The 27,556-nt window shown below is 36.1% G+C and overlaps 1 protein-coding gene and 1 pseudogene across 3 annotated transcripts in view; one reads left to right on the forward strand and one right to left on the reverse strand.

The window, feature by feature from the left end:
- The window catches only part of PHKB (phosphorylase kinase regulatory subunit beta), a 240,225-nt gene that overhangs the window by 113,178 nt on the left and 99,491 nt on the right, over positions 1-27,556 (forward strand). For all 3 annotated transcript variants that reach the window (NM_001363837.1, NM_001031835.3, NM_000293.3), the window contains 6 exons: positions 5,819-5,882; positions 13,192-13,287; positions 14,429-14,626; positions 19,024-19,081; positions 19,661-19,738; positions 21,897-22,055. In NM_001363837.1, coding sequence (NP_001350766.1) covers positions 5,819-5,882; positions 13,192-13,287; positions 14,429-14,626; positions 19,024-19,081; positions 19,661-19,738; positions 21,897-22,055 — 653 coding nt within the window. The remainder of the gene's footprint in view (positions 1-5,818; positions 5,883-13,191; positions 13,288-14,428; positions 14,627-19,023; positions 19,082-19,660; positions 19,739-21,896; positions 22,056-27,556) is intronic.
- NDUFA5P11 (NADH:ubiquinone oxidoreductase subunit A5 pseudogene 11) lies at positions 23,217-24,545 on the reverse strand (annotated as a pseudogene).

Raw genomic sequence — 27,556 nt, forward strand, 5'->3', positions numbered from 1 at the left:
TCTGCACGTTATTTTGCTCTTTGCAAGTGGGTGAGGCATGCTAACAATGCCTCCAATCTGGAGCCTGGGTAGTTTATAAAGAAAAGAGGTTTATTTGGCTCACAGTTTTGCAGGCTGTATATACAAGAAGCTCAGGACAGAAGACTAAGTGGAACTGGAGTATAGAAATCACATGACAAGAGAGGGAATAATAGGTGCCAGGTTCTTTTCAACAACCAGTTCTCACGGGAACTCAGACTAAGAACTCACTCAATCCCATGGGAATGACACCAAGCCATTCATGAGGATCCTGACACCTCCCACCTTGCCACACCTCCAACATTGGGGATCAGATTTCAACATGAGACTTGGCAGGATCAAACAAACCACATTCAAATCATAGCATATGTCATCTGCAAAGAAACAGTTTCATTTCTACCTTTCTCAGCTATATTCTTTTTATTTCCTTTTCTTGCCCTATTTTACCACATAGAACTTCCAGTACTATGTTAGTCATGGTGAGAGCAGACATTTTTGTTTTGAGAGGGAGCATTCAGTTTTTCTTTCACCATCAAGTAGAGTTAGCTGTAGAAGTTTTGTAAATCAAATTGCAGAATTTATACAAATGGCCAACAAGCATGTGAAAAAATGCTCAACATCACTAATCATCAGAGAAATGCAAATTAAAACCACAGTGATATATTGTTACACCAGTCAGAATAGCTGTTATTAAAAAGTCAAAAACTAACATATTGGAAGGGTTTGGAGAAAAGGGAACACTGATACATTGTTGGTGGGAATGTAAATTAACACAACCTCTATGGAAAACAGTATGGAGGTTTCTCGAATAACTTAAAATAGCACTACCTTTCAATCCAGTAATCCCACTACTGGATATCTACCCAAAAGAAAGGAAATTATTATATCAAAAAGATAACCTGTACTCATATGTTTATCGCAGCATAATTCACAATTGCAAAGATATGAATCAACCTACGTATTCATCAACAGATGATTGGATAAAGAAAATGTGTATATGTACACAAAAAAATACTGTTCAGCCATAAAATGAATGAAATCACATCTTTTATAGCAACATGGATGACACTGGAGGCTATTATCTTTAGTAAAACTAAACTAACTCAGAAAGAGAAAGTCAAATACTATATATTCTCACTTAAAAGTGGGAGCTAAATAATGTGTACACATGGACATAGAGTGTGGAATGATAGACATTGGAGCCTGGAGAGGGTGGAAGGGTGGGAAGAGTTTGAAGGATAAGAAATTACTTAATAGATACAATGAACATTATTCAGGCAATGGTTACACTAAAAGCCCAGGCCTGATGTGGTGGCTAATGCCTGTAATCCCAGCACTTTGGGAGGCCGAGACAGGCGGATCACCTGAGGTTGGGAGTTCAAGACCAGCCTGATCAACATGAAGAAACCCTGTCTCTACTAAAAATACAAAATCAGCCGGGTGTGGTGGTGCATGCCTGTACTCCCAGCTACTCAGGAGGCTGAGGCAGGAGAATCACTTGAACCCGGGAGGCGGAGGTTGTGGTGAGCCGAGATCGCGCCATTGCACTCCAGCTTGGGCAACAAGAGCGAAACTCTGTCTCAAAAAACAAAACAAAACAAAACAACAACAGCAAAAAAAACCCAGACTTCATCACTATGCACTATTTCCATGTAACAAAACTGCACTTGTGCCCCTTAAATTTTTATAGATTAAAAGAAAGACACATCATTAAAGAAATTGTGGAATTTCCCTCTATTCCTAGTTTTCTGAGAGTTTTGTCATAAATAGATGTTGAATTTTGTTTGATGCATTTTCTGCATCAATTGATATGACCATGTTATTTTGTTTTGCTTTAGCCAGTTAACATGGTAATTATATTAATTGGGTTTTTATTATTGAACCGGCCTTGTTTCCCTGGAGTAAACCCTACTTAGTCATGGTGATAATTCAGCTTACATATTGCTGAATATTGTTTGCAAATGTGTTTTTAAGGATTTTGAATGTCAATGCTCATTTAGTTCCTCTGTATCCTTGCTGGTTTTCTGTCTAGTTGTTCTACCAATTGTTGAGAGAAAAGGAGAAAAGTGTGCAAGTATCCAACTATAACTGTGGTTTTGTCTATTCTTTCAGTTCTGTCAGTTTTATTTCACACATTTTGCAACTCTGGCGCATACACATTTAGGATTGCTATGTCTTCTTCGTGGATTGATCTTTTTCATTATGTATTATAATATCCTTCTCTGTCTCTGATAATTTTCTTTGCTCTAAAGTCTCCTTTATCTATTATTAATATAGTCACTCCTGCATTATTTTGATTGTGTGATATATCTTTTTCCATCCTTTAACTTTAAGCATGTCTATATTGTTATATTTGAGGGGACTTTTTTATAGACAATACATAGGTGAGCCATATTTTAACTCTGCAAATCTCTTTCTTTCAATTGGTGTATTTCATGCTTTTAAATTTAATTAATTTCTCATATGTTTGGGCTTCAGTCTGCCATTTTCTTTTTTATTTGTCTTTTTTAATGTTATTTTTAACTGTTTTCCACCTTTTCTTAACTTAGCTGATGCCATTTTATTGATTTTTTTGTTTGTTTATTCTATTTTTCATCTTTCTGTTTTATTTTTCCTACCTTCCTGTGGGTACTTAAAGATTTTTTTAAAATCTCTTTTTGATTTATCAATAGTGGTTTTGATTGTATCATTTTGTATAACTTTTTAGTGATTGCTGTAGGTAACACTTCAGTGTAGTGATGTCATCATTTTATTAGTTCAAATGAAGTATAGAAAACTTACTTTCATTTATGTCTTATTACCATTCTGAATTTATAATAGTTATCTTAAATATTTCCTCCATACACATTTAGAATCATATCAGACAGTGTTATAATTTTTGCTTCAACTGTCAAAATTCAAGAGGAGAAGAAACATGTATTGTATTTACCCATATTTATGCTTACCATGTTTTTTGTTTCTTTTTGGTGTTCTGATATATGTTTTTTCCTCTTTTTAAAAAATTACCTTTCTGTTTAGAGAATGGAGTTTATCCATTCTTTCAGGGTAGGTCTGCTGGTGATAGAATCTCTTATTTTCCTTCATCTGAGATTGTCTTGGTTTCTTCCTGATTGCTAAGTGATGTATTTACTGGTATAACTTTCTGAGTGGGTAGTTTTTTTCTTTCAATCACTGGAAACTCTTGTGCCACATCCTAGCCTTCATGGTTTCTAATAAACAATCCGTTGTCATTCTAATTATTTTTCCCCTATAGGTAATGTGTTATCTCTGGCTACTGTCAAGATTTTTTTCTTTGTCTTTAATTTTCAGAAGTTACGATGTGTCTTAGCATGGACATTTTAAAATTTATTCTGTTTGTGTTTCACTCAGCTTCTTGAATCTGTAGGTTTATGGCTCTTGCTAAGTGGGAATTTTCTGCTTTGCCCTCTGTCTCTCTCCTTTAGGAACTCAGGTGACATGAATGTTAGATACTTTGTTATGATCCCACAAATCCCTGAGGCGCTGATCATTTTTTTCCATTCTATTTTCTTTGTTTTGATCAAATTGGATAATTTCTGTTGTTCTGTCTTCCAGTTTGTTTATTCTTTCCTCTGTCCTCATCATTCTGCTGTTGAGCCTATCTACTGAACTTTTTATTTACACTATTATATTTCTCAATTTTAAAAACTTTGCTGATACTTTCTGTTTCTTACTTAAGGATTTCTGGTTTTTTGATTTGTTTCAAGCATGTTCGTAATTGCTTATTGAAGCACTTTTATCATGGCTGCTTTAAAATCTTTGTCAGATAATTCTAACAACTCTTTCTTCTCAACGTTAGCATCCATTGATTGTATTTTTTTCATTTGGTTTGAGATCTTTCAGTTTCCAGGTATGAGGAGTGTTTTTTGATTGACGTATAGGTATTTTGGGCATAATAGTATAAGACCCTAGATCTTATTTTAACTTTCTGTTTTAGCTGTATTTTCTTATACCACTCTGGTAGAAGAAGGGGTGAGGGCACATCACCTCATTACTGCCAGGTAGGAATATAAGGCCATTATTTTTGTTGACATCCAGGTCCCCAGTAGGCCTCCACTAATACCTCCTTGCTGGGAAATATAGGAGTGCTTCATTACTGGTTCTCATTTGGCCTCCATTTATAGGGCAGGAGAAAAGGTGTGACCTCTTGATTGGTGATGAAATGGTTTCTTATCACCTATTGGAAATGAAAGTGTTGACTTCTTCCTTGTAGTTTTCTGACACCACCATGACTAAGAGAGTTGGGAGTTGAGCATTGTGCCTCATGATAGACTCAGGAATGTAGAAGTCTCGGTTTCTACTCAGCCTTTGCTGGAATGGATGGGGGTAGGGTAAAGTTTTTTCTGAGTGGTTATTGTCTAAAAGTTTTATTTTTGCTAGGCTGCTCTTCTCCTGTCCTTTGGCTAGAGAGACAGGCTTTTGTTGGGGATTTTTTGTATGCATGTGCTGGCATTTCTCAGTGGTTGGCTCCTTTGACTTTAAGACTGGTATAAATAAGGCAAAAAGGAAACCCAGGGCAGTTACCATAGTGTCGTTCATAGAGTCCTGAAGTTCATAGCTAGACTGCCTTCTACCCATGTTTCTAAGTCTTTTTGTGTTTGTTTTATATGTAATGTCCAAGCTTCTTGGTTGTACTTAGTGAGAAGACTAGGGAAAATTATGTCTACTCCATCTTCCCATCCATGTATCTTTAAAATAAGTGTCTGACCTATTTATTGTCCTGCAATAAAAGTGATGATTTCTTAAAAACAGGTTATGAAACAACTTATAGGATGTAGATGATGATGACATGAATAGCTTAGAACAGTAGCTCTCAAACTTAAAGTGCATTCAAACACCTGGAAGGCTTTTTAACACTGATTATGGAGCCCTACTCCCAAGAAGAAATGGGAACTAGCATTTCTAACAAGTTCCCAGGTAATACTGAAGGTGCTGCTCTGGGGACCATAGTTTGATAATCTGTTTCAGAGAAATGCTGAATAGATGACAGATCATTAGCTTTAAATGATATTAATGGCAAATACACTTGCTTTGAGTAAAACAAATAAAAATTTGTAATAATTAAACTGAGTATTAGATATAAAATATTTAAAGGTAGATACTTAAAAGATGATATCATATTTTTAATGAAATGGGTCTTCCCATTTTCCAGCACTATAGTATATGGCATTTGAGAGGCCAAAAGAGTAGGACACTAAGGGAAATAGTATTCATTTTATTATAAAGGGAAGAATATAGCAAAAAATAAGAGATAAGGTGATCAGTTGTTCTGTGAGCATAAAATAATGCCTATTTTTTGGATGTTAGGCAAGAGTGTTTGAAGGATACTTTAAGCCACACTCTGATAGTTGTATGATATGCAAGATCTTTCTTAAGACTCAGATTTGATGTCAGAAAAGCTCCATTACATTGATCTGAACTAATGATTTCCTGCTAATTACTGCACTTATCATCATAATATACCTTCCTCTAAAGTTCGTCTTTTTTTCTTGAGTTAGTGAATAAAAATGATTCTGGAATTAAAACTACTCCCATCAATAGTATGACCATTAGTTTAGATCAAGGTGAACCTAGAAATATTTTTCCCAGGTGATCACTAACTATAAAAAAGAAAAATTAAAATAGTGAAATGTCAGAATGAGGTCTCTTAGACATTATTCTTCTTACAGAAGTTGTTATAAATGTTAATAAAGAAATTTGCTCGTGAATATTCATCAGATAATGGTTCTGATTTTGTAGCCACATACATTAGAGTAATAAAGCATTTCCTTTTCTCTTTTAGCTCGGTTGGTTTAGCAAAAGCAGCTCTAGAAGCAATTAATGGATTCAACCTTTTTGGCAACCAGGTAAAAAATAAGACCCCCAGAATCTTTGATTATTTGAATTGCACATTTAATTAATTTGGCTATTCATTAACAAAGTCATTTCCTTATAATCAGAGAATGTCCAAAATTTATGTAGAAGCTCATGCTTGAACTTTTCCTTTGAAAATGATTTGCCAGTTAAATTTTAGTTTTCTAACTAAAGACCATTGCTTAATTTCTTTAAAAAAAAAAAAAAAAAGAAAATTTTTTTTGATAAAGAATTCTGATTTCCTTGGTTCAGTGACTTTTCCCTCAAATCTATTACTCATTTTGTAGAAGGTTTCACATTTTTTAATGTATTTGGCATTGTATATATATATTTTTATGTCAGTTTTCATGTTGGTTTCAATGTAATGTATTTCAATGTATATCTCATGTAGAAGAGAATTTGTGTGATGTGTTTAGCCAGATAATTGGGAGTTTTGATCCTAGCTTCACCTTCAACTGGCTATAATCAAATGTCTAAAATCTCATTTTCTCTGGGGATGAAAAAAAAACCCTGAAGGTCGTCTTAAATTTTCATTAGATCTTTAACCAGTTTTTATACTGAAAGAATCTAATCAAGTGACCATGGATTGAGTTGTCAGTGGAAAGGAATAAAATGTAGGAATAGAGGTTACTACTCTGGATCAAGAAGTAGGCCAATTTTCTTTAGCAGTTTTTATAAAGATTCCTAAGATGGTGAAGTAAAGTGAAGTTTCTAACTGAGAATAAAATTAATCCTAAGCTACTGAAATGCTAAGTCAGTAAAGAAACATTTTAGGAGGTTACACAGTTGTGCAAAAAAAACGACATGGTTTTTGTTATGGCAATTATAATACTATCTACTCAAGTCTTGAATTTAAGAATGTTTTTAATTGTAGTATATTAATGCAGCCACCTCTCTTCTCCTTCTTACGTACACAAGCACTCTTCTCATCCCAACTCCCTCTAGAGGATGGATGGGCTCTGTCTATATGAAGGTCATGAGGAATTACCACACACTCTGGATCACCCATTTTCATATTCCTGGATGGATGGATGGATGGATGAATAGATAGACAGACAGGAGTAGGAGGATAAAATGACTTTAAAGAATGGCATTATATTAGGGGTCAGGAGACAGGATCACTGCATGCTCTGTACTCAATTCCACCAGTGAGTATGGCTATTTAACTAAGCCTCAGCTTCCTCGTCTAAAAAAATAAAGATAATGATAATAGGACCTAACTCAGGAGGTTTTCATGCAAATAAAAGTTAGTTAGCATAGTGCTTTGCAGAGATTAAACTTTTAATAAATGCCATCTCTTGTTGCTATTGTTTTTTTTATTTTTGTTTTTTGAGACAAAGTCTCGCTCTTGTCTCCCAGGCTGGAGTGCGATGGCGCGATCTCGGCTCACTGCGACCTCCGCCTCCCGGGTTCAAGCAGTTCTTCTGCCTCGGACCCCCGAGTAGCTGGGATTACAGGCGGCTGCCACCACGCCCGGCTAATTTTTGTATTTTTAGTTGAGACGGGGTTTCACCATGTTGGCCAGGCTGGTCTCGAACTCCTGACCTCAGGTGATCCACCCATCTCGGCCTCCCAAAGTGCTGGGATCACAGGCATGAGCCACTATGCGCGGCCGACTCTTGTTGCTATTATTTATGAAGTAATAGTAATACAAAGGAAGGGAAATGAGAAAGAACTGAAAGCTTTCTAGAGCATATATCAAGGAGACTGAGAGGAGGCATGGATTAAACCAGAGCTGATGTTAACAGCAGTCTGGAAAGGTACAGGTCTTGCTAACCTGGCTTCTGTGACATACCAAATACTGAGCTGAATGGAGCTGAGTGTCTCTTGGTTGGCTGTTACATGGTAGTAGCCAGCTCTTTTTTGCAATAGTGTCATCTCCTTTGAAGTACCTGAGTCTTAGTGTATGTTGCTTACATACCTGTATGCACCCCTTCCTATTGTGTGTATACTCACACACATACATACAAGCTACATTTCCTAACTCTACCCATCTTTCAGTGCTCTACTTTTCCCAGGAAGCTTTCATAAATTGCTCAGCTATAATTCTAAAATCGCTAAATTACTTTACTCTGCATTTGGATTCTGAGTTATAACTGTATTGCTGATATTGTTCCTCAGCCAGTTTCTCAATCTTGACTATGCATTGGAATCATTTGAGGAATTAAAAAAAATACTCATATATGAGCTCTACTTCCAGGGATTCTGATTTAATTGGTGTAGGGGGAGGCCTTGGCATTGAGATTTTTTGGAACTTCTCAGGAATTCTAATATACAATCAAGGGCGAGAACAACTGCTCTAAGCCGAGTTAATTTTTGGCCTTGTTCAGGTCACGTCTATTTCCAGTGGAGCTATGCACCAAATATTTGCTGAATTGACTACTACTTGATTGTTTCAGATAGAAATATGGACAGATAATGTCTTCTTTCTTTCTTTCTTTCTTTTTTGAGACAGCTTCTTGCTCTTGTCACCCAGGCTGGAGTGCAGTGGCACGATCTCGGCTCACTGCAATCTCCACCTCCTGGGTTCAAGCGATTCTCCTGCCTCAGCCTCCCGAGTAGCTGGGAGTACAGGCATGTGCCACCACACCCGACTAATTTTTGGATTTTTAATAGAGGTGGGGTTTCACCACGTTGGCCAGGCTGGTCTTGAACTCCTTACCTCAGGTGATCCACCCGCCTTGGCCTCCCAAAGTGCTGGGATTACAGCCATGAGCCACCACGCCGGGCCATGTCTTATTTCTTTAGCCACAAGAATATCACATGTTGCCAGTAAAGTCCCTTCATCTTCCATTTTTACAAGGTAGTGTCAGTGTCCTTGTTTTACAAATTCCCTTTCGTCTCTTTTTTCTGATGTGGAGAATTGCAGAAATATGACTTTGAAAATGTTACTATTACCACCTCTACAGCAGTTAAATTAATAATGTGCCTGCTAAACAGTGGCACATTTAAAAGTGCATGTGATCTTTTTAGTGTTTAATCATTTTATAATGTCATTGTATATACTTAAAAGAGCTGTGATCTAATTAAAAGTCAGTTGCTGGGAAAAGAATTGACATAAAGAAATGCTTTTATTCAAATGAAAATCCATAGAAACCACCTCAAGACTTGAGGGATTTCAGATCATATTGATATTCACTGTTATTTCTAAAGGCCATTGGTATAAGGTTTTGGAAGACCTGATCGTGTGTCTTTAACTAAATTAATTAGAACTTTCAAAAAGTACATTCCTTCTTGGTGGCAACTCAAGAGAGATGGTAGAGCCCCTCTCTCAAAATGAATGATCGGAAGATTGAGGTAGTGTTTCTCAGATCACACCACACAGGGGCAAAACCAGGAGTAAAACCAATGCCACTCCATAATGAATCTATTAATAGAAGATCAATTTGTTGGTATGGGAAATTTCAGCTGTTGGACACTTTCTACTTTTAGAATTGGGAGCTGTGCATTTTCTTTGAAAACTCTTAAGCTGTTTTTTGCTTAATAATTATTGAGCTTCTGAAAGAGGTATCCATTTCACAAATAGTGTGAAAGGCTTGCCTTTTGCCCCTGGCTTCAGCATATGAGATAAAACAAATGTTAATTTTATTTTTACGGGCAGTTGTTGGGTGGTAAAGTTTTTTGCTTTGGTTATGATTATTATGCGTTCCTATACTTCCTCCTTTTTTTCCAATAATAACTTATTATTCAAGGAAAAAAAAAACACTTTAAATCTTTTTCTGAAACTATTTTCCAAATTTATTTTTCTTTGGGACACTGAGAATAAGATGTGATAAAAAGGCCTAGTTTCCATAATGATTTGTTTACAATAAAAGCCAATTTGGGGCAGAGCTACATTTAGAAACATATATAATCCTCAATATGGGAATCACATATTTCATCATGATCTCAAATATATTCTGTATAAATTTCATGACAAATATATTTAAATATTATTTAAATAATGTTTGATAATATTTAAACAGTAATATTTTAGTCTATCAGAATTTATTTTCATCAAATGTCATAGTCATAGTAAGCAACAGTTTTGTGATTCCTGGGTTTGAGTCTCAGCTCTGCTCTTTTGAGACCCTGAAAATTCATGTTCAAATTTATCTTTCTCTGTAGTTTGAGAATTCCTTTCACAGTATGTGCATGAGGACGAAGAAGCTTGGGTTGTGAGAGGGGCTGCTGGAAAGAGCTGTTGGGTCAGTAAGCAAAAGTTGGCTATTTACACATCTATTGCCACCACAGCCTTGGTGCAGAAGGGAAATTCCTATCAGTAAATACCCTTTCCGGAAGAATACATTTCTCCAGGCTCTGCTACAGAGCTCAGTGACAGCCTCATAACTGAACTAGGGGAGAAAATCTCCTGACCATAGTTTTGCGGTGTGGTTTTGTTCCAGAATAAGAATGTGAAGATCATGTACGATAGGTAGATCCAATGACCAGTTGTACCTTGTTTTATTTTTTGAGTCTAGATGAGGGCAGCAAGTCCCTTAGCTCAGGCTCTGAGAAGTGATTAATGAAGAAAAGAAAGATCAGTCTTCAAATTGTTTTCTTTTTAATTGAGACCAGTGAGATCAGCAAAGTCTTATGTTTACAGTTGGTACCCTTGGCCTTAGGGACTGTCTCAAAAGTGGTTGTTCTGGTCATGGGATTAAGGGAAGTGCAGTGCAGCCCTTCCCCACCACTGGAACTCAAGTCCCCATGACAGTGGTCAGGTTTCAGAATCATCTTCCAGTCCCAGTGCATTTACTAGACTAAAACAATTATAGAAACTTGGCTAGGGAGTAAAGTTTGAGCTGTCAGTCTTAAAATAAGCTCTTTAGGTGGAGTCAGGATATTATGGCAGAATTATAATGTTTTCAGGAAATGGAAGATGAAAATAAAATATCCAAAGTTAATCTGATACTCTGAAGTGACATATACATATAAAACATCCTTTCATATTCCTATCCTTAATTGGGGAAATCAAGATACTGACAAATGAGCCGAGACCAGAATCTAAAAGGTAATGACTAGAGAGATTGCTCATGTTATGCAAAGTGTTCAAAGCAGTGCAGACATCTAGCTTCCTTTGAAATTTGCAGGCCTTAAATTAATGTGTCTGATTATTTAAAGTAGGTGATAATTAATTCCATTTGTGGGTTCTCCTTGATGACTCTTAAAAAGACTTGCTTCTGGATTGGGAATAGCTGCCCATGACCTGGGGAGATTTTACCCTCCTGGAAATCTGGACCGTAATGCCTAAAGCATGGGATATTTTTGTAAGAAGACAGCCAAACAATATAGTTAATCACCCTTTGGTCTTGGTGTTAAAATATGGTAACATTATAAGATTATTTTTCCCTTTGGGCATATTTCTTAGGTTGGCAGAGAAAAATTGAGAGCTGAATAAATACTTTGATGAATTTAGACAAATAAGCCATTTATTTACGGCCAGAAAATAGAAGTTGGCTGTTTACATTAATCAAGTAACATAGAGAATTGCCAAATTTGCCATTTCACTTCATTATTTATAAATTATCCTACTTAGATTGTATCTTTTGAAAATTTAATTCCAGGCAGATAGTTTGGTATGCAATTAACTTTATTAATTCTTGGCCTAAAGATAAATTATAGCTCCTATTTTTTGTGTATTCATAGGCTCCTAACATATTATATCCATTTATTTCTCTGCTGTTTTGTTCTAACTACCCTACTTGCTCCCATTTCACCAAAATTCAGAGCCTAGCTATGGTCCTCACCTTCTCTATGAAGTGCCCCAACTTCCCTGGGGACTTGTTTTATAATTTTCTTCTCCCCCTTAAACCACTAACTTTGGTGAAACTAAGTCATGTGTTGTGGTATGCTGCCTTTTTGTTTTCTTAATAATCTTGTTCAGGACTGTTGCCTGGGTCAGCTTCTTGAGAGCACAGGTCAAATTTGATCTTGTCTGTTTTCCTGAAAGCAGAGTGCACAGTACCTTGCCAGCGGCAGCTGCTGCTGAACCAGTAGAGATGGGAGGTTGGAACTCCGGAGTGACAGAAAGGACAGTTTACCATTCATCTGGTGGTTGAGAGACAGCCTCACCGAATCACTGTTCATTTATTAATTTACTTGTCAGATTTTAAAAAGATTTTAAAATGATATTCTGAATGAGAAATCATTCTATTTTATGAGCTAATTTTCATGTACAAACATGGGCTACTAGGAAAAAAATACCTCTAGTGAATCTGACATCTGGATATGGGGTCTGGTGCTGCTAGATTTTGAAGTTCAGTGTAGGTGATTGGTTGGAGATATTTTTGTTTCAGTTTGAATGCATCTGTGAAGTTGTTGAGAATTAGGATGAGATTCAGAAAATAGTATTAAAGTAACATGAAATTTATAATTCTCTTCTCCCTTTCCCCATGTATTTTTCTGAGTATTCTCCTTATTCCCATCCAGTTCTATGTGATTTCAAATATTTAGCTCCCCAGTAAAGCTGTTGAATATGGAATGCACTAGTTTTAACCTGGTTAGCAGATAGATTAAGATTTTCTGTTACACCTATTTGTTTCATTCAAGCTTTTTTTTTTCTTACTTGAAATATATATATGTGTGTGTGCATATATACGTATATGGGGGAATTGTATAAAAAATATATATATGGGGGAATTGTATAATCTAGTGTTTAAAGAATGGGCCTCTGTGTCAGAGACTTGATTTTGAAACTTTACTCTGTTAAAGTAAGTCTTAATGTCCTTTTCAGTAAAATGGGGAAAACAATATCTACATACGGATGTTAAATGAGACAATCCATGTGACACATAAAGCATAGTGCCTGATGTGGTGAATATTTGTTCAGATTAGTTGCTTTATTGTTATTTGAGATTCTCCTGTCTTCATATTTTAATCCAGTATTCTTTTACATTCATCTAGATTGTATCTAAATTTGTTTAGTTTGATCATATAGTCAATATTTATGAGGAATGTACAACTCGGATTTTATGAATCTGCATTCTCATTCTTTGTCATGTTAGCTAAACTAATTGTATTTTCATTAAAATAAATGTCACTAATATATTGGCTATCTTGTAATCAGTACATTTTGATTTATAAGAAAGTCAAGGAAAACTAGGGAAAACAAAAATAACATTTTTATGATTATAAAATTAATGTTTATTGCAGGATATTTGAGAAATATTGAAAGTACAAACAAAATTTAAATCTTCTGGAACTCCACACTCAAGATGCAGACAATGTCAGTATTTTTGTGAAGTTTTCACAGTCAAAATGCCAAAGTTCTACAAGTCTTTTTTCTTAATTTAGGAAATGTTTTTCTTTTTCTCTGTCCAGGGCTGTTCGTGGTCAGTTATATTTGTGGATCTCGATGCTCACAATCGCAACAGGCAAACTTTGTGCTCGCTGTTACCCAGAGAATCAAGATCACATGTGAGACATTTAATAATGATAAATTTAACATGAACTATTGTTTATGATTTCTATGTAGTTATATCTTAATTTCCAGTAAAGTACTCTAAAATGTTAGTGATCGTCCAGAAGGGATAAGAGGACATGATAGATATTGCCCCTTACTCCTCTGGCCTGGGGAGGTCTTAGCAAGTGGACAAGAGTTGTGGACACGGCTGCTTTGGCCTTTGAATCTTTTGCAGGAGAATAGAAAAACAGACTTTTCTTTTGGGGGAGTAGCAACATTAGGCCAAGGTGAATTATTTTTTTGCCATGGTATATTAGAAAAATATTTTTCATAGTGTATATATCTTTTGGATAAAATAACCTTCCATTCCTTATTTCTGTTCTCTCATTCAATTCACTTTTTCCCCTTGCCTGATCAACTTCTGTATGCTTATCCTACCTGATTGCAGAATTTTCTAGGGACTATTTGTGGTTCTGTTATTTAGAAAACACCCAAAGTGGAATAATTTAGTTATTCAAAACAACTCTTTTATGTAAGTAATGTAAGATTATCATTAAAAAAAAAAAAGCTCCCCAAATAAGCAAATAATATAATACCCACTCATGCCACTACTCTAATACAATCTTGACAACATTTGGGTATATATGTTTTCACTTATTTTTAGACATATATAATATTTTTATTTTACAAAGCTATAAGAGTACTTTTTATATTGATTGATAACCTAGCTCTGTGAATGGATATTGGATATTGTCCCATACCAGTAAACAGATTTCTACAATATAAATTTTAATAGTTGCTAATTTACTCAACTAATTGTTGGACATTTAGGTTGTTTCCTCTTTTTCATTATTATAAGCAAATTGTTGTGAAAAACTAAGTTGTGACAACTGTTAAATTTTTGCGCACCATTTTAATTAATATTTTGACATTTGAGCCCGTTGAATCTTGAAAATACTATCAACAAATAAAGTTTTATCTCCTCTGTAAGGTTTCCTGGAACATGCCATAGAAACATCTGTCTGATCCTGGGAGCAGAGCGTGCTCACTTTTGACTGCATAACCTCACTGGCTTTTCATCTCTATCATTCTCCTTGGGCTGTGTTGATCACATCGCTGTGGACACTCACAGTCTCTCTTTCTCATTGCCTCCAGAATACAGATGCTGCCCTGCTCCCCTGCATCAGTTATCCTGCATTTGCCCTGGATGATGAAGTTCTTTTTAGCCAGACACTTGATAAAGTGGTTAGAAAATTAAAAGGAAAATATGGATTTAAACGTTTCTTGAGAGATGGGTATAGAACATCATTGGAAGATCCCAACAGATGCTACTACAAGCCAGCTGAAATTAAGGTATTAAAAAATATTCCATGGTAATCGCATATCAGAGCAATCAAAAGCACAGATTCAGGAGACTGACCATTGGGTTTGAATTCTGGCTCTGCTACTTACTAGCTATGTGGCCCTGGGCCAGTTAATTAATCTCTGTCTGTGTTTAATTTTTTCATTTGTAAAATAATAATAGTACCTATATCATGAGGTTCTTATGACGATTAAATAACTTACATAAAAGTGCTTAGAATAGTGCTTGGCACATAGTGAATGCTCAGTAAGTGTTAGCTCTTATTACCAGTGAGGTATTTACTGATAATGGGCCATGTTCATTTATTGGGTGAATAATTTTTCTATTGCATTTTCAGTCCTATGTTTGCCTGATCCATACTATTTGTCTTATATAATATTAAATACCTGTTTGTAATATTCCTTTCATTCTATTAAGCAAATTCTTTTATTAAAACTGATAGGCCATTCCATCTTCCCTTATCTGTTTCATTTAGACACTTTCTTTTAAAATATAGTCCTCTAAATGTTTAGTTTTAAAATATTTTGTATTTCAAAACACATATACCACTATATGTAGTTTTATACTAGCTGCTTTTAAGCCATCTAGAAAATAGCACCCCAAAAAAGTAAGAAGTCATGCACATTGCTGAAGACTTTGCTTTAATGTAGTGTATTGAAAGGTATTTTGGTTTTTTGTTTCTTTCCTTTTGAGATGGAGTCTTGCTCTGTTGCCCAGGCTGGAGAGCAGTGGCATGATCTCAGCTCACTGTAACCTCCACCTCCTGGGTTCAAGCAATTCTCCTGCCTCAGCTTCCTGAGTAGCTGGGATTACAGGCACATGCCACAATGCCCAGCCCAGCTAATTTTTTTGTGTTTTTAGTAGAGATGGGGTTTCACCATGTTGGCCAGGCTGGTCTTCAACTCCTGACCAAGTGATCTGCCCTCCTAGGCCTCCTAAAGTGCTGGGATTACAAGCGTGAGCCACTGTGCCTGGCTGAAAGGTATTTTGTATGCATGGGCATAATTGGCTCACTCACTGAAGGTAGGTAAGGTCCCTAGGAATCTGTATGTAGAAAATATGTAGGCAACATTATACCTTTTAAGTTGTTTGGCAATTAACATACTATTTTAAAATTTAACATACACTTTTGCAGAAAAACTAGACAAGCTATTTATCATTTTATTTAACTTTTTTTTTTTTTTTTTAATAGAGACCAGATCTCCCTATGTTGCCCAGGCTGGACTGGAACTCCAGGGCTCAAGTGATTCTCCTGCCTCAGCCTCCCAAGTAGCTCGGACTACAGGCATACACCACCACATCCAGCTTTATTTAATTTCACGGTTGACTATCACTTGGAAACCATTTTATTGTGTGCACTTTTGAAATTTTAGCAGTGTTGGCAGTGTTACAGTCTGTTAGGTTGGGCCAAAAGATCCATTTATCTCTTAAACACCTTCAAATGTTTCTTTCCTATTTAATACATTTTCTGTGCCAATATTTACAGCACTTACATTTGAATTGGACCACCTGCAACTAACTACCACCTCGCACACTTCCAACTTTGGATCTGTCCAGCAAGCTTTCTTGCTTTGGATCTGTCCAGCAAGCTTTCTTCACCTTCTGCTGAGCACCACTAAGGAAAGCCACAGCACTGTGGGTAGGAGCTGCCCCACAGTCAGGAGATCTTTCTTGGTTCAGCCTCATCATTGCTGTCGGTTCTTGTCAGTCCTGCTATCTGACTCTGCCAGGAACTCCCCATGAAAGCTTTTCCAGCTTTTTCCTGTTTGTACTCAAGTTCGCAGACTTTCCTTTTTATTTTCTACTTGATAGCCTTTCATTTCTGCATGGTCTCCTCCACTGTGTCTTTCCTTCATCCATACTTACCTCCATCTCTCTTGCCTCACAGAAGGAGCTCTCTGTTCTAAGGCTAACCCATCCTGTGTATACCCCATCCTATTCTCTTTTCCTTTCTTGACACCCTCACTTGTTTTCTTCTGTGATAGAAGGATATCTATTTCTCTTTCTTTTTTCTCCTCATCTCCATTTCTACTTCTCTGTCTTGTTTCCCCAACTTAAATTAGCTTTTTTCGTCATTAAGCACATTGATGTTTATCATTAAGAAACCAAACGAAACCCTTCCTCAGCCCTTTCCCTGTCCACCTCCATCCTCTTTCTCTTGGTGCCACACATCTGAAAAGCATGGCCTCTACTTGGTGTCTCCTTGTTTACATCCCGCTTACTCTTTCCCCTTACAAACTGGCTTACTTCTGAGCACTCCCCAGTAGCTGTGCTGGCTTCAATCCATTTACATTACTGAGTCGGAGTGGATGCTTTTCTGATCTCGTTTCACAGAACTTGGCATTTGAGTGTCTTTGCTGAGTCTTGTTTGTTGGAACATTCTCCATTGGCTGTGACCCCTTTCTTTATTCTCCACTTCTCTCACTTACTTCTTAGTCTCCTTTGCAGGTTCCTCCTCTTCTGCCCCCTCTTAAACCTTGCTCTTCTCCTAGGGCCCATCCACAGCCCTAGCTCTCTTCATTCTGGCTGTGAACTCTTAGCTTCAGCTATAGCTATTAACCACAGATCTCCATCCCTAACTCATACCTCTCCTCAAGTGCCCACCCCCTGTATGCAGCTGCCTTGTGAACATCCTCGCTTAGATGTCTTACAGTTTGCCTGTATTCAGCTTCCACTCCTGTGCCCGAGCCCTATACCTGAGAGTCATTCTAGGCACTTCCTTCTCACCCATCTACCTTTGTCAATCACCAAGGCTGGCAGATTTAGCCTCCTAAAAATCCTAAAATTCTGTTTTTTCCTCTCTATTACTCCCTGGTTTAGGCTAGTGGATCTGGGGCGATTTTGCCCTCCAGGAGACATTTGACAATGTCTGCAGACATTTTGGGTTATCACAATATAGTAGGTACTACTGACATCTGGAAGGTAGATACTAGGAATGCTACTAAACATTCCTGCACCACACAGGACAGCCCAACAACAAAGAATTATTTGGCCACAATGTCAGTAGTGCTGAAGTTGAGAAAGCTCAGTTTAGGTTGTCATCTTTTCTCTTTGGATTTTGCTCCAGCAGAATTCCAGCTGGTCCTGTTTTTTGCCCTACAACTCTCTTCGGTATTACCAGCTGCTCAGTCTAGCAAGTAAATATAATGAGTAAATTTGATCCTGCTGAGTATTCACCTGTGGTTCTCTTTTATTTCCAGACCAAAGTCTTAGCTACTTAGCATGACCTGCAAGGCCCTTCCCGATCTGGCTGGCCTGGCCCATCTGTTGGGTTTCAGTTTTCACTACTTCGTCCTTGCTTATTGCAGAAATACTGAATTGCTGGTAGATTCTTTAACATACTTTGTGATTCTGTGCATCTGTGGTTTGTAACTGTTACTTCCTTTGCCTTGAGTTACCTTAGCTCATCTCCCCAGTGAATTCCATCCAGCGTTAGCTGAAACATCTCCTTTCCTGTAAACATTCCCTGATTCCAAGGCAGACTCAGGTGTTCCACTCCCTATGAGCCTGACATACCATGTGTAGATATTTCCTACTGCATAGTAGTTGTTTATTTACATGCTGGCCTCCCTATTAGGCTGTGAGCCTCTGAGGGAAGTTCTCTGTCTTTTGTCTTAGTAGCTCTCTGTCTAGTTGGTTCCAGGCATTAGTAAGTATTCAGTAAATATTTATTGAAGGACTGCAGTTTGATGGACTGAATGAGTGAGCTTTTGAATAATAAGATCTGAGGAAAAATTTTTTTAAAAAAAGGACAAGGAAACTGCTTACAAAATCAGTTCAACTTTATTGCTATAAACAAATCTTTGACATATCGCCTAACTATAGTTCTTCTAATGTAATTGTTAGTGGCTGGCCACAGTGGTTCATGCCTGTAATGTCTGTAATCCCAGCACTTTGGGAGGCCAAGATAAGAGGATCTCTTGAGGCCAGGGGTTTGAGCAGCTTGGGCAACAGAGGGAGGAGACCACATCTCTGAGAAGAAAGAAAGAAAGAAAAAGAGGGGGGGGAGGGAGAGAGAGAGAGAGAAAGGAAGGAAGGAGAAAGAAGAAAGGGAGAGGGAGAGAGAGAGAGAGGGAGGGAGAGAGAGAGAGAGGGAGAAAGAAAGAAAGAGGGAAGGAGGGAGGGAGGGAGGGAGGAAGGGAAAGAAAGAAAGAGAGAGAGAGACAGAGATAGCCAGATATAGTGGTTTGTGTCTATAGTCCCAGCCCTCCCACTTGGGAGGCTGAGGCAGGAAAAAGGATCCCTTGAGCCCAGGAGGGCAAGGCTGCAGAGAGCCGTGATTGTGCCACTGCACTCCAGCCTGGGCCACAGAGTGAGATCTTGTCTCAAAATAATAATAATAATTTAATTGTTAGTGTAAAATTTAATGTTTTATTTTCTGTTTTAGCTATTTGATGGCATTGAATGTGAATTTCCCATATTTTTCCTTTATATGATGATTGATGGTAAGTAAGCTTTTTCCTGAAATTTAAGCAAGCTTTTTCCTGAAATTTAAGCTGTAGGATTTAAGTGGTTTAAAGAAGAGCAGAAATAAATTATGACTCTTTTCAGCTAGAAAAATAGACTGCGCTTCAGTGATGTTAATTGCCCTGCATTTGTATATACTACTCTTTTGCTTTCTGAGTGAATGCTAAATCATTTAAAGAATTAAAAAAACACTTGGAAGCATTTAAAAAATGATAGCATATATATTTTCTTCATATTTACAAAGAAAAATTTTTATTAGTAGAAATCATTAATACTGTAATCCATGATAATGTGAATGTCTGTAACATTTATACTTAGGAATAGGGAAAATTCAATTAAAATTCAGTTTTCAATTCTAAATGCTAACATGACTTTCTAAAACCAATTTCTTGGAAAAATATCACACAGATTTGCATTTTTTTTCCACTTTAATTTTACCATTGGCATAGAAAATTACCAAAATAATTGTAACTGGGCTAATATATTTTTTCTAAGGTAAAATTTTTGAGATCCTTATTAAGCTCAGCTGCTATTGGATTTTATATTTTATATTTTAGGAGTTTTTAGAGGCAATCCTAAGCAAGTACAGGAATATCAGGATCTTTTGACTCCAGTACTTCATCATACCACAGAAGGTATAGTTGTTTTTTTAAGAAATTCTTCCTACCAACATTTCCTGAATGTTTATTTGAAATGTATAAGTGAGTCCTTTGTAAAAAACAATAATTTGTATTAAATTGAAAAAAATGAATGATCCCTGATATGAAATCAGAAAGAAGATTAAGCAAGACAAAGATGGAAATGAATCTAGGTGGACATGGCAATAGTCATTCCAAAATAGTTTGTCAGGTGGACTGAGTTCCTTCATCTGTTATTTACTATGTAACTCCATTACTCTGTATAGAAAGTGACTAGTTTTTATACAGGTCACCAAAAATGCTATAGTCAGGTGAGTGCCCCTCCTGCGGAGGGCTACCTGGAGAGGTTCTGCTCTTGTCTAAAGGCACTAGAATTGCCGAGAATATTCTGGCCCCCTCTTTGGAGTTTTTTCTGGGGTCCTTAGCATTGTATTTTGAACATCTGCCATGGTGCTAAAACATCGTCCTTTGAGGATGGATTTAATATTTGAGAAATGGTCAGAAGGCCCAGTCTTAGGAGTAAGGGTATATTGGTTTCAGTCAAACACCAGCAGGGACCCTCAAAAAACATAGCTGAATTTTCTGTATAACTGGAAAACCAATTTTCAAAGGAATTCCAAATGAGATGTTCTAGATGTCTTTGGGGCTTTAAAGTATTGACAATCACAGCAGTGAGCCCCATTCCTATCTCACATGAAATTTGTGATATTCTTTGGGGTTTTCCACAGATATCTCAGAGTAAATACTTAATATTATATGCTCACTAACATGCTTGTAATGTTAAAAGTTGTGAAATGTTTATGGATAAACATTGATTTCAAAGTGAATATTAATTTTTAAAAGTTATCTTTGTCTTTATGCTACAAATAATCACTTGTCCAATGTGAGAAATAATGTATTAAATTTTGTAATGCATGTAATATTTGAAATCCTTTGAAGCAGATCTTTTAATATTTAGTATTAGATCTTTGATGCATTGAGATGTAGTAGTTTAATGTACCTCACTTCAGGCTTCATCATGTTCAGAGAGTGATGTTCAAAGTATTATCTGTATATCATAGACCTTCTTACTGATTTTAGACACAAATATTGTTGATTGATATGTAAGGAAGCAAAATTTTAGGGAAATCTGTGCAATTTCATTAGAAAAATTAAGTTTACTGTGGGCTAATATTGCAAAAAGTCTCCTGTAGCATCCTACATAGATTGTTGATTATTTTCCCATTATATCATCCACAAAGATTCTACTATTAAATAATAATTTTAGTTCCTACCAACCCATTTTTAAATGGTCACGGGGGAGATGGCTTTTTCTCTTCGGTGATATTGAATGGTAGATAATGGGCTTAATGTTTAAATGGGGATTTCTTTGCTCTAGCAATGGCTCAGAGTTATAATTCTTCATTTAAGATTACACAGTATCTCATTTGTGAAGCTTCTACAGAATAATCCTATTAAAAATAGCTTCCTCTGTGGCTCTAAGTATTTGCATACTGTGTATTTGTTGATTCATTTAAAGGTATTAAAATTAAATGTTGTTGAGGGAGATTATGTACTCATTGTTAGCCAAAGCATAACAATCTGCTGTTGAATTAGTGTTTTAAGTCAATTTTTTTCTCCATGATTTTCACTGGCAATATCTGAAAGGAACCAGAATATCCAGCTTTCTATAGCTTATCAAATCTGTTGCCTCCTGTATAAGAATTCTCTCTCCCTGCTTTCTAATCATTACAGTGTCTTGAAGGGAAATTTTGGGAAAGACAGTAATTTTGATATGGTTCGGCTGTATCCCCACCCAAAGCTCAGCTTGAATTACAGTAATTCCCATGTGTCAAGGGTGGGGCCAGGTGGAGATAATTGAATCATGGGGGGCGGTTTCCCCCATACTGTTCTCATAGTAGTGAATAAGTCTCAGGAGATCTGATGGTTTTGTAAATGCATAAGCCCTCTTGCCTGCCACCATATAAAACGTACCTTTGCTCTTCCTTCGCCTTCCACCATGATTGTGAGGCCTCCCCAGCCATGTGGAACTGTGAGGCCATTAAAACTCCTTCCTTTATAAATTACCCAGTCTTGGGTATATCTTTATTAGTAGCATGAGAATGGACTAATACAGATTTGTTATATTTTAAATACTTATTTTTAAACTCCATAGGATATCCTGTTGTACCAAAGTACTATTATGTGCCAGCTGACTTTGTAGAATATGAAAAAAATAACCCTGGTAGTCAAAAACGATTTCCTAGCAACTGTGGCCGTGATGGAAAACTGTTTCTTTGGGGACAAGCACTTTATATCATCGCAAAACTCCTGGGTAAGTGGAGAAGATTGGGAATGGTATTTTTTTCCTTGTTATTAAGCTATTAGAAATAAATATGCCTTTGCTGGTGTTTATGTTGGATTTGGGTGGTGTTTCATGGTCTTGAGAGGTCTTTAGGGAGTTTCCTAGTATCTAGTGGTATATTAATATATCTATTTCACTGAATGATGATGGACAGTTTCTGGAAAGAAAGCGAAATAGGTATGGGTACCATTTGTGATCATTTAGGGGGCTGCATTTGGCTTACTATATAGGTTTCCTGCAGAAGATTATAGAAACTTTGAGTTACTTTTATATGATATATTAAAAATTCTGACTTAAGAAAACAGTAACAGTCATGCTTGGTCATACCTTTAGTAGACCACTTGCCAAAATGTATTGGTCATCTCAAAGTTCTTTTCTTTCCAATAAATATATATTGGCAATTTTAGTTGGAGGTTTAATAGGACCATTATTCATTATTCTTTGAAGAATTATTTTTCATCTTCTCCTACAACTTGAACTGAATCATAGCACTCTTGGACACTTTGAAATGAAGACAAATTTGATAAACACAGAAAAAGCATTATGCATTCTTCCTGCAAATTCCTTGTTCAAATTTTAAATGTTGTTAGCATTTACATCAAAAAGGCTATCACTTTAGAGTCAGAATTCCTTTATGGCAAAATATATTGAAATAGGCTAACTGTAAATACTGTACCTGCACTAAAATAACTGCCTACTGTATAAAATACTGTTATGATTTTTGTTGTTTCTAGCATTACTGCATAAATGCTAATAAATTTGTGCCGTAAGAGTAATCATCTTCGGTTTTTAAAAAAATATTCCATTAGGGAAGAATATTTCACAGGACAGATTTCCAATTTGAGCTTTACATAAAATGATATGTAAGAACAGGCAGAAGCTAACCAAATAAGTGAAAACTAAGTTAATGCTGTTTTCAGTTTGCTCCTTTCCTAACTATATTTTCTGGGTCTCCATATATACCTAATGCTAATTTAAGAACATGAAGAAACATTTTCTTCCTCCTTTAAAGGGACAGCTTTTTGACAAGGTGTTGATATTATTTATAGGCTTTCCTTTTAGAATTTCCAAAGCGGGGGGGAAAGACACATGAAATAGTTTTCTTTTTTCTTTTTTCTTTTTTTTTTTTTTTTTTTAGTGATTCCGCTTTTAATTTATAGTCGTATGACTAAGATGTTTTGAATATAAGCCTATCCGTATGCCAGATATAAATTTCAGGAACTCTTAATGTCTCTTTTACAGAAACTCTACCTCTATCCTGATGTAATTAGGTTAAGAAAATTAAAGGCCACGGTCCAGAAAACTAACTTCCACAAATGCAACAAAAGGAAAAATTTCTCCAGTAACCTCTGTGCAATGGGAAATCTTTCTTTTAAGTACCAAGTCAATTTCTTCAACTGTACAATGTATTCTAATTTGAAGGTTTTCAAATATAATATAGTAACAACAAAATATAATAAAATTAAAACTATCAGAAAACAGAGTAAATGGTATAATTCAAATAATGACTAAAATAAAATGACATTATGGATTTTGTAATCAACCTATAATTATATATTTAAATTTTGCTTTACATACATAAGATCACAGCTGAGGTTAACCATAATTTCAAATTTTATCACCAGCCACTTGTGCTATTTTATCACATTTGAAAATATTCACTCATATTATTTACCTCAAACAGTGATCTATAAATTTGTTTAGACTATAATAGTTAAGGACCTTTTCTTCTTCCAGATAACTTGAAAAATTAAATGATGTATTGAACATACTACTAAAGAAACTTTACTTTTTGATTATGGTCTCTGCATTGAAGATCTGTAGGAATTTTTCTTTAATAATTTTCAAATCTTCCCATGACCTCTCTGTTCATAGAAATATCATCTTTGAAATAACCTGTGTGAATACTTTATAAATCAAAAATGGATTCACATGACCATATTACCATAATCACCAATTTTAACACTCTCCTACATATTTTCTATATCACTTTTCTTGATTATAAAATGTCAGTAATATGAACACGCCCTCGATATAGCAGAATATTTAATTACATCAGTTTCCCATCAACACACCAAAGTCACTTAATAATTATATTGGCCATTTCCACTGATCGGCAGGAGGCTCTTCCACTAATGGCGCCCATGGTTTCCACTCCCTCATTTTTCTTGCCAGATTTAGTTCATGTTCAGCCTAAAGAATCACCTCTTCTAATTGACTGCCTTGAAGTTGGTCTTCTAATTTTTTAACATCTGGTTCCGCTTTAACCATAGCCAGCTTCTCATTTGTAATCTGTTCTGTATACTTTCTATATGCTGCATTTTTAGGGATTTCCTCAAGAACGTCAAGAATCTTTGTGTACAATATTCTTAGCCTCTCATGTGGAGTATTGCACACAGCCAATCCCACAAGGCCAGTGGTCTTCTTCAGCACACCCTCCCTGACAGCGCCAACGATTCGATCAACACATGAAATAGTTTTCTTAGAATCAACCCAAGTTGGGAAGGTTATCTCTGGTTAGAATGTTATTTCCGTCTCACTAGCATAATTACAAAGAAGCTTTGTTGTTACAGTTAAGTAAAACATATTTTAGTAGAGTACTAGTTAACTTATGTAAGGATAAGAATTTTAACATTAGAATTATAGGTTTTTATGTTCTATATTTGGAAATTACAAATGAGCATGAGGAATTTTTTTCTGTGATTCTGAGGCTAAAAACTGGCACCTGGGATCTGGGATATGAAATTAAAACCTTCTTTATCCTGCTTTTTGCCATATATCCAGCCTGGGTTTAGTACAACTAGAAAGAATGTTGTTTGAGCAAAGCCTCTAGATAAAATTGACAAGGCTAGTGAATTGAGAAGGTGGAATTGACTACACCCTACATAAGCAAATTGAGCTTTAAAAAAAGAAAAAGATTGACAATAGTATCAGTAAAAAAGCATTGAACTTTCCGTAATAAATGTGTTGAATGTAGACAGGTCTTGAGTGAAGATAGTATTTTCTCATATTAAGACCAGAGTGAACAGAAGTAGTACAGGTCATGCCTCCATTTCTGTTTCATGACCAAAAAGAAGAAGAAATACTGCAGAGCTGCCGTTAAAGAAAGTCAGTTTCTCTTTTCCCTGCTGATCTTCTGAAAAGGCAGTGAGAACATGAAGAAGGTATTTTGCATACTATGAAACCACATACATATCTCCAGCTGAAAAAAAGAAATATTGCATATTCATTAGTAGTCTAGCCTAGCTTTGTTATCTGGTTAACAACCCACTGGTTAAGACAAATAACATCTCAGAAAATTGAATCATTTAGTTGCTCTTAACTGTTGTATACTAGCCCTAAGAACCATCAGACTTCTATGGATTTTCATTAAGATTCCAGATACAAATTTACTTAAAAAGTCTTTATTCATTAAAGGAGCCTCAGCTGGATCTCTGCTTGACAACATTTTGTGGACAGCTAATTGTGGTTACTATTTTTACATGAAAATAATATAACAGTGAATCTTTAAAAATATAGTATATGACTTTCACTAATTCAGGCCAGTTTGTATCTCAGTGAAGTCTAATAATATTTTGCTTTATGTATGCCTAAGTAAATAATTATATAACAAAACTCTGTGACTTCTATTCAATTGTTAAAGAAAAGACACAGTATGCTATTTCCTGAACCAAGGCCTGAACTCCCCACTGTGCTCTTAAAAAATAAGTTAATTATTCACAGTATTTCCTTTTCTCTTATAAAATTTATACTTTTAGAAAATCAATATTTTCTATATAGCTGGTAAATATATTATAAACATGTACACTTTAAACCCCGTAAGACGTATCTTAAGATATATTTGACGTGTCTTAGAATAAAATGGTCATTAGTTATACTTTCAACTGTTATTCAAATTTGAAAGTTTAGAAACCATTCATGTAAGACCAGTCTAAAGAAAGCAGAGTACCTTTTTGAGCTATTTGCAAAAATAAATAACCTTAAAAGTACAGTCATTCATTGCTTAATGGTAGGGCTACATTCTGAGAATTGTGTCATTAGGTGATTTTTAGCCTACGACGTACCTAGCCTATATGATATAGCCTATTGCTCCTAGACTATAAACTTGTAGAACATGTTACTATACTGAGTACTGTGGACAATTGTAACACAATGGTAAGTATCTGTGTACCTAACATATTTAAACATAGAAAATGTTTATACGTGAAGATGTCTATACATGAAGATACAGTATTGTAATCTTATGGGACATCTTTATGCATCATCACATGATTGTATTTATTGCATTAAAAATCACTTGAGGCTGGGTGCAGTGGCTCACGCCTGTGTCCCAGCATTTGGGGAGGCTGAGGCAGGCAGATGGCTTGAGCCCAGGAGTTCGCGACTAGCCTCGCTAGTAGATGGGACTACAGGTGTGTGCCGCCACGCCTGGCTAATTTTTTGTATTCTTAGTAGAGATGGGGTTTCACCGTGTTACCCAGGCTAGTCTCGAACTCCTGAGCTCTGCCCGCCAGCCATGATGGTGCATGGCTGTAGTCCCAGCTACTCAGGAGGCTGAGGCCAGAGGATCACCTGAGCCCTGGAGGTCAAGGTTGTGGTGAGCCATGATTGCACCACTGCACTGTAGCCTGGGCAATAGAGTGAGACCCTGTCTCAAAAAATTGCTTGAAAATCTTGATGTTTGAATTGAAATTTTTTTTGAGATTCAGAAAACTAAAGAAATATAAAGTTAATGATAACATTACTCTAAAACCATTAGATAACCATTATAAAGGCCATTATATAACTTTAATATATGTTCTTATTCACTATGTCCTAAAAAGAGATACTAACATATCAGCTTTTAAAAATCTGACTTCTAGGGCCAGGTGTGGTGGCTCATGCCTGTAATCCCAGCACTTTGGAAGGCCGAGGCAGGCGGATCATGAGGTCAGGAGATCAAGACTATCCTGGCTAACACAGTGAAACCCCATCTCTACTAAAAATACAAAAAATTAGCCAGCCATGATGGCACGCACCTGTAGTCCCAATTACTCAGGAGGCTGAGGCAGGAGAATCGCTTGAACCTGGGAGGCGGAGGTTGCAGTGAGCCAAGATCATGCCACTGCACTCCAGCCTGGGTGACAGAGCAAGACTCCATCTCAAAAAAAAAAAAAACTGACTTCTAGACTTCAGCTTGTCTTTTCCATATATGCAACTAACTTTTCTTATCCTGTACATCAGACATTCATAGTGATGATCTTCATTCAGGTACTACTACATTATCCCAGCTCATTAAAGATTAGAACTTTACATATTGTATAATTTAAGGCAGGTGAATACAATAATTTTTTTAGGGTGGATATTTTGAAAACATTAATAAACATTAATGGTTAAAACAAGATATATTCTCTTGGTAAACTTAAATATTAAGCAATTTTAGTTAACTACAACTTTCTCTCCAATATACACAAACTCCCAGAATACTCAGG

Source organism: Homo sapiens, chromosome 16 (assembly GCF_000001405.40).
Source record: "Homo sapiens chromosome 16, GRCh38.p14 Primary Assembly".
Taxonomy (NCBI): Eukaryota; Metazoa; Chordata; class Mammalia; order Primates; family Hominidae; genus Homo; species Homo sapiens.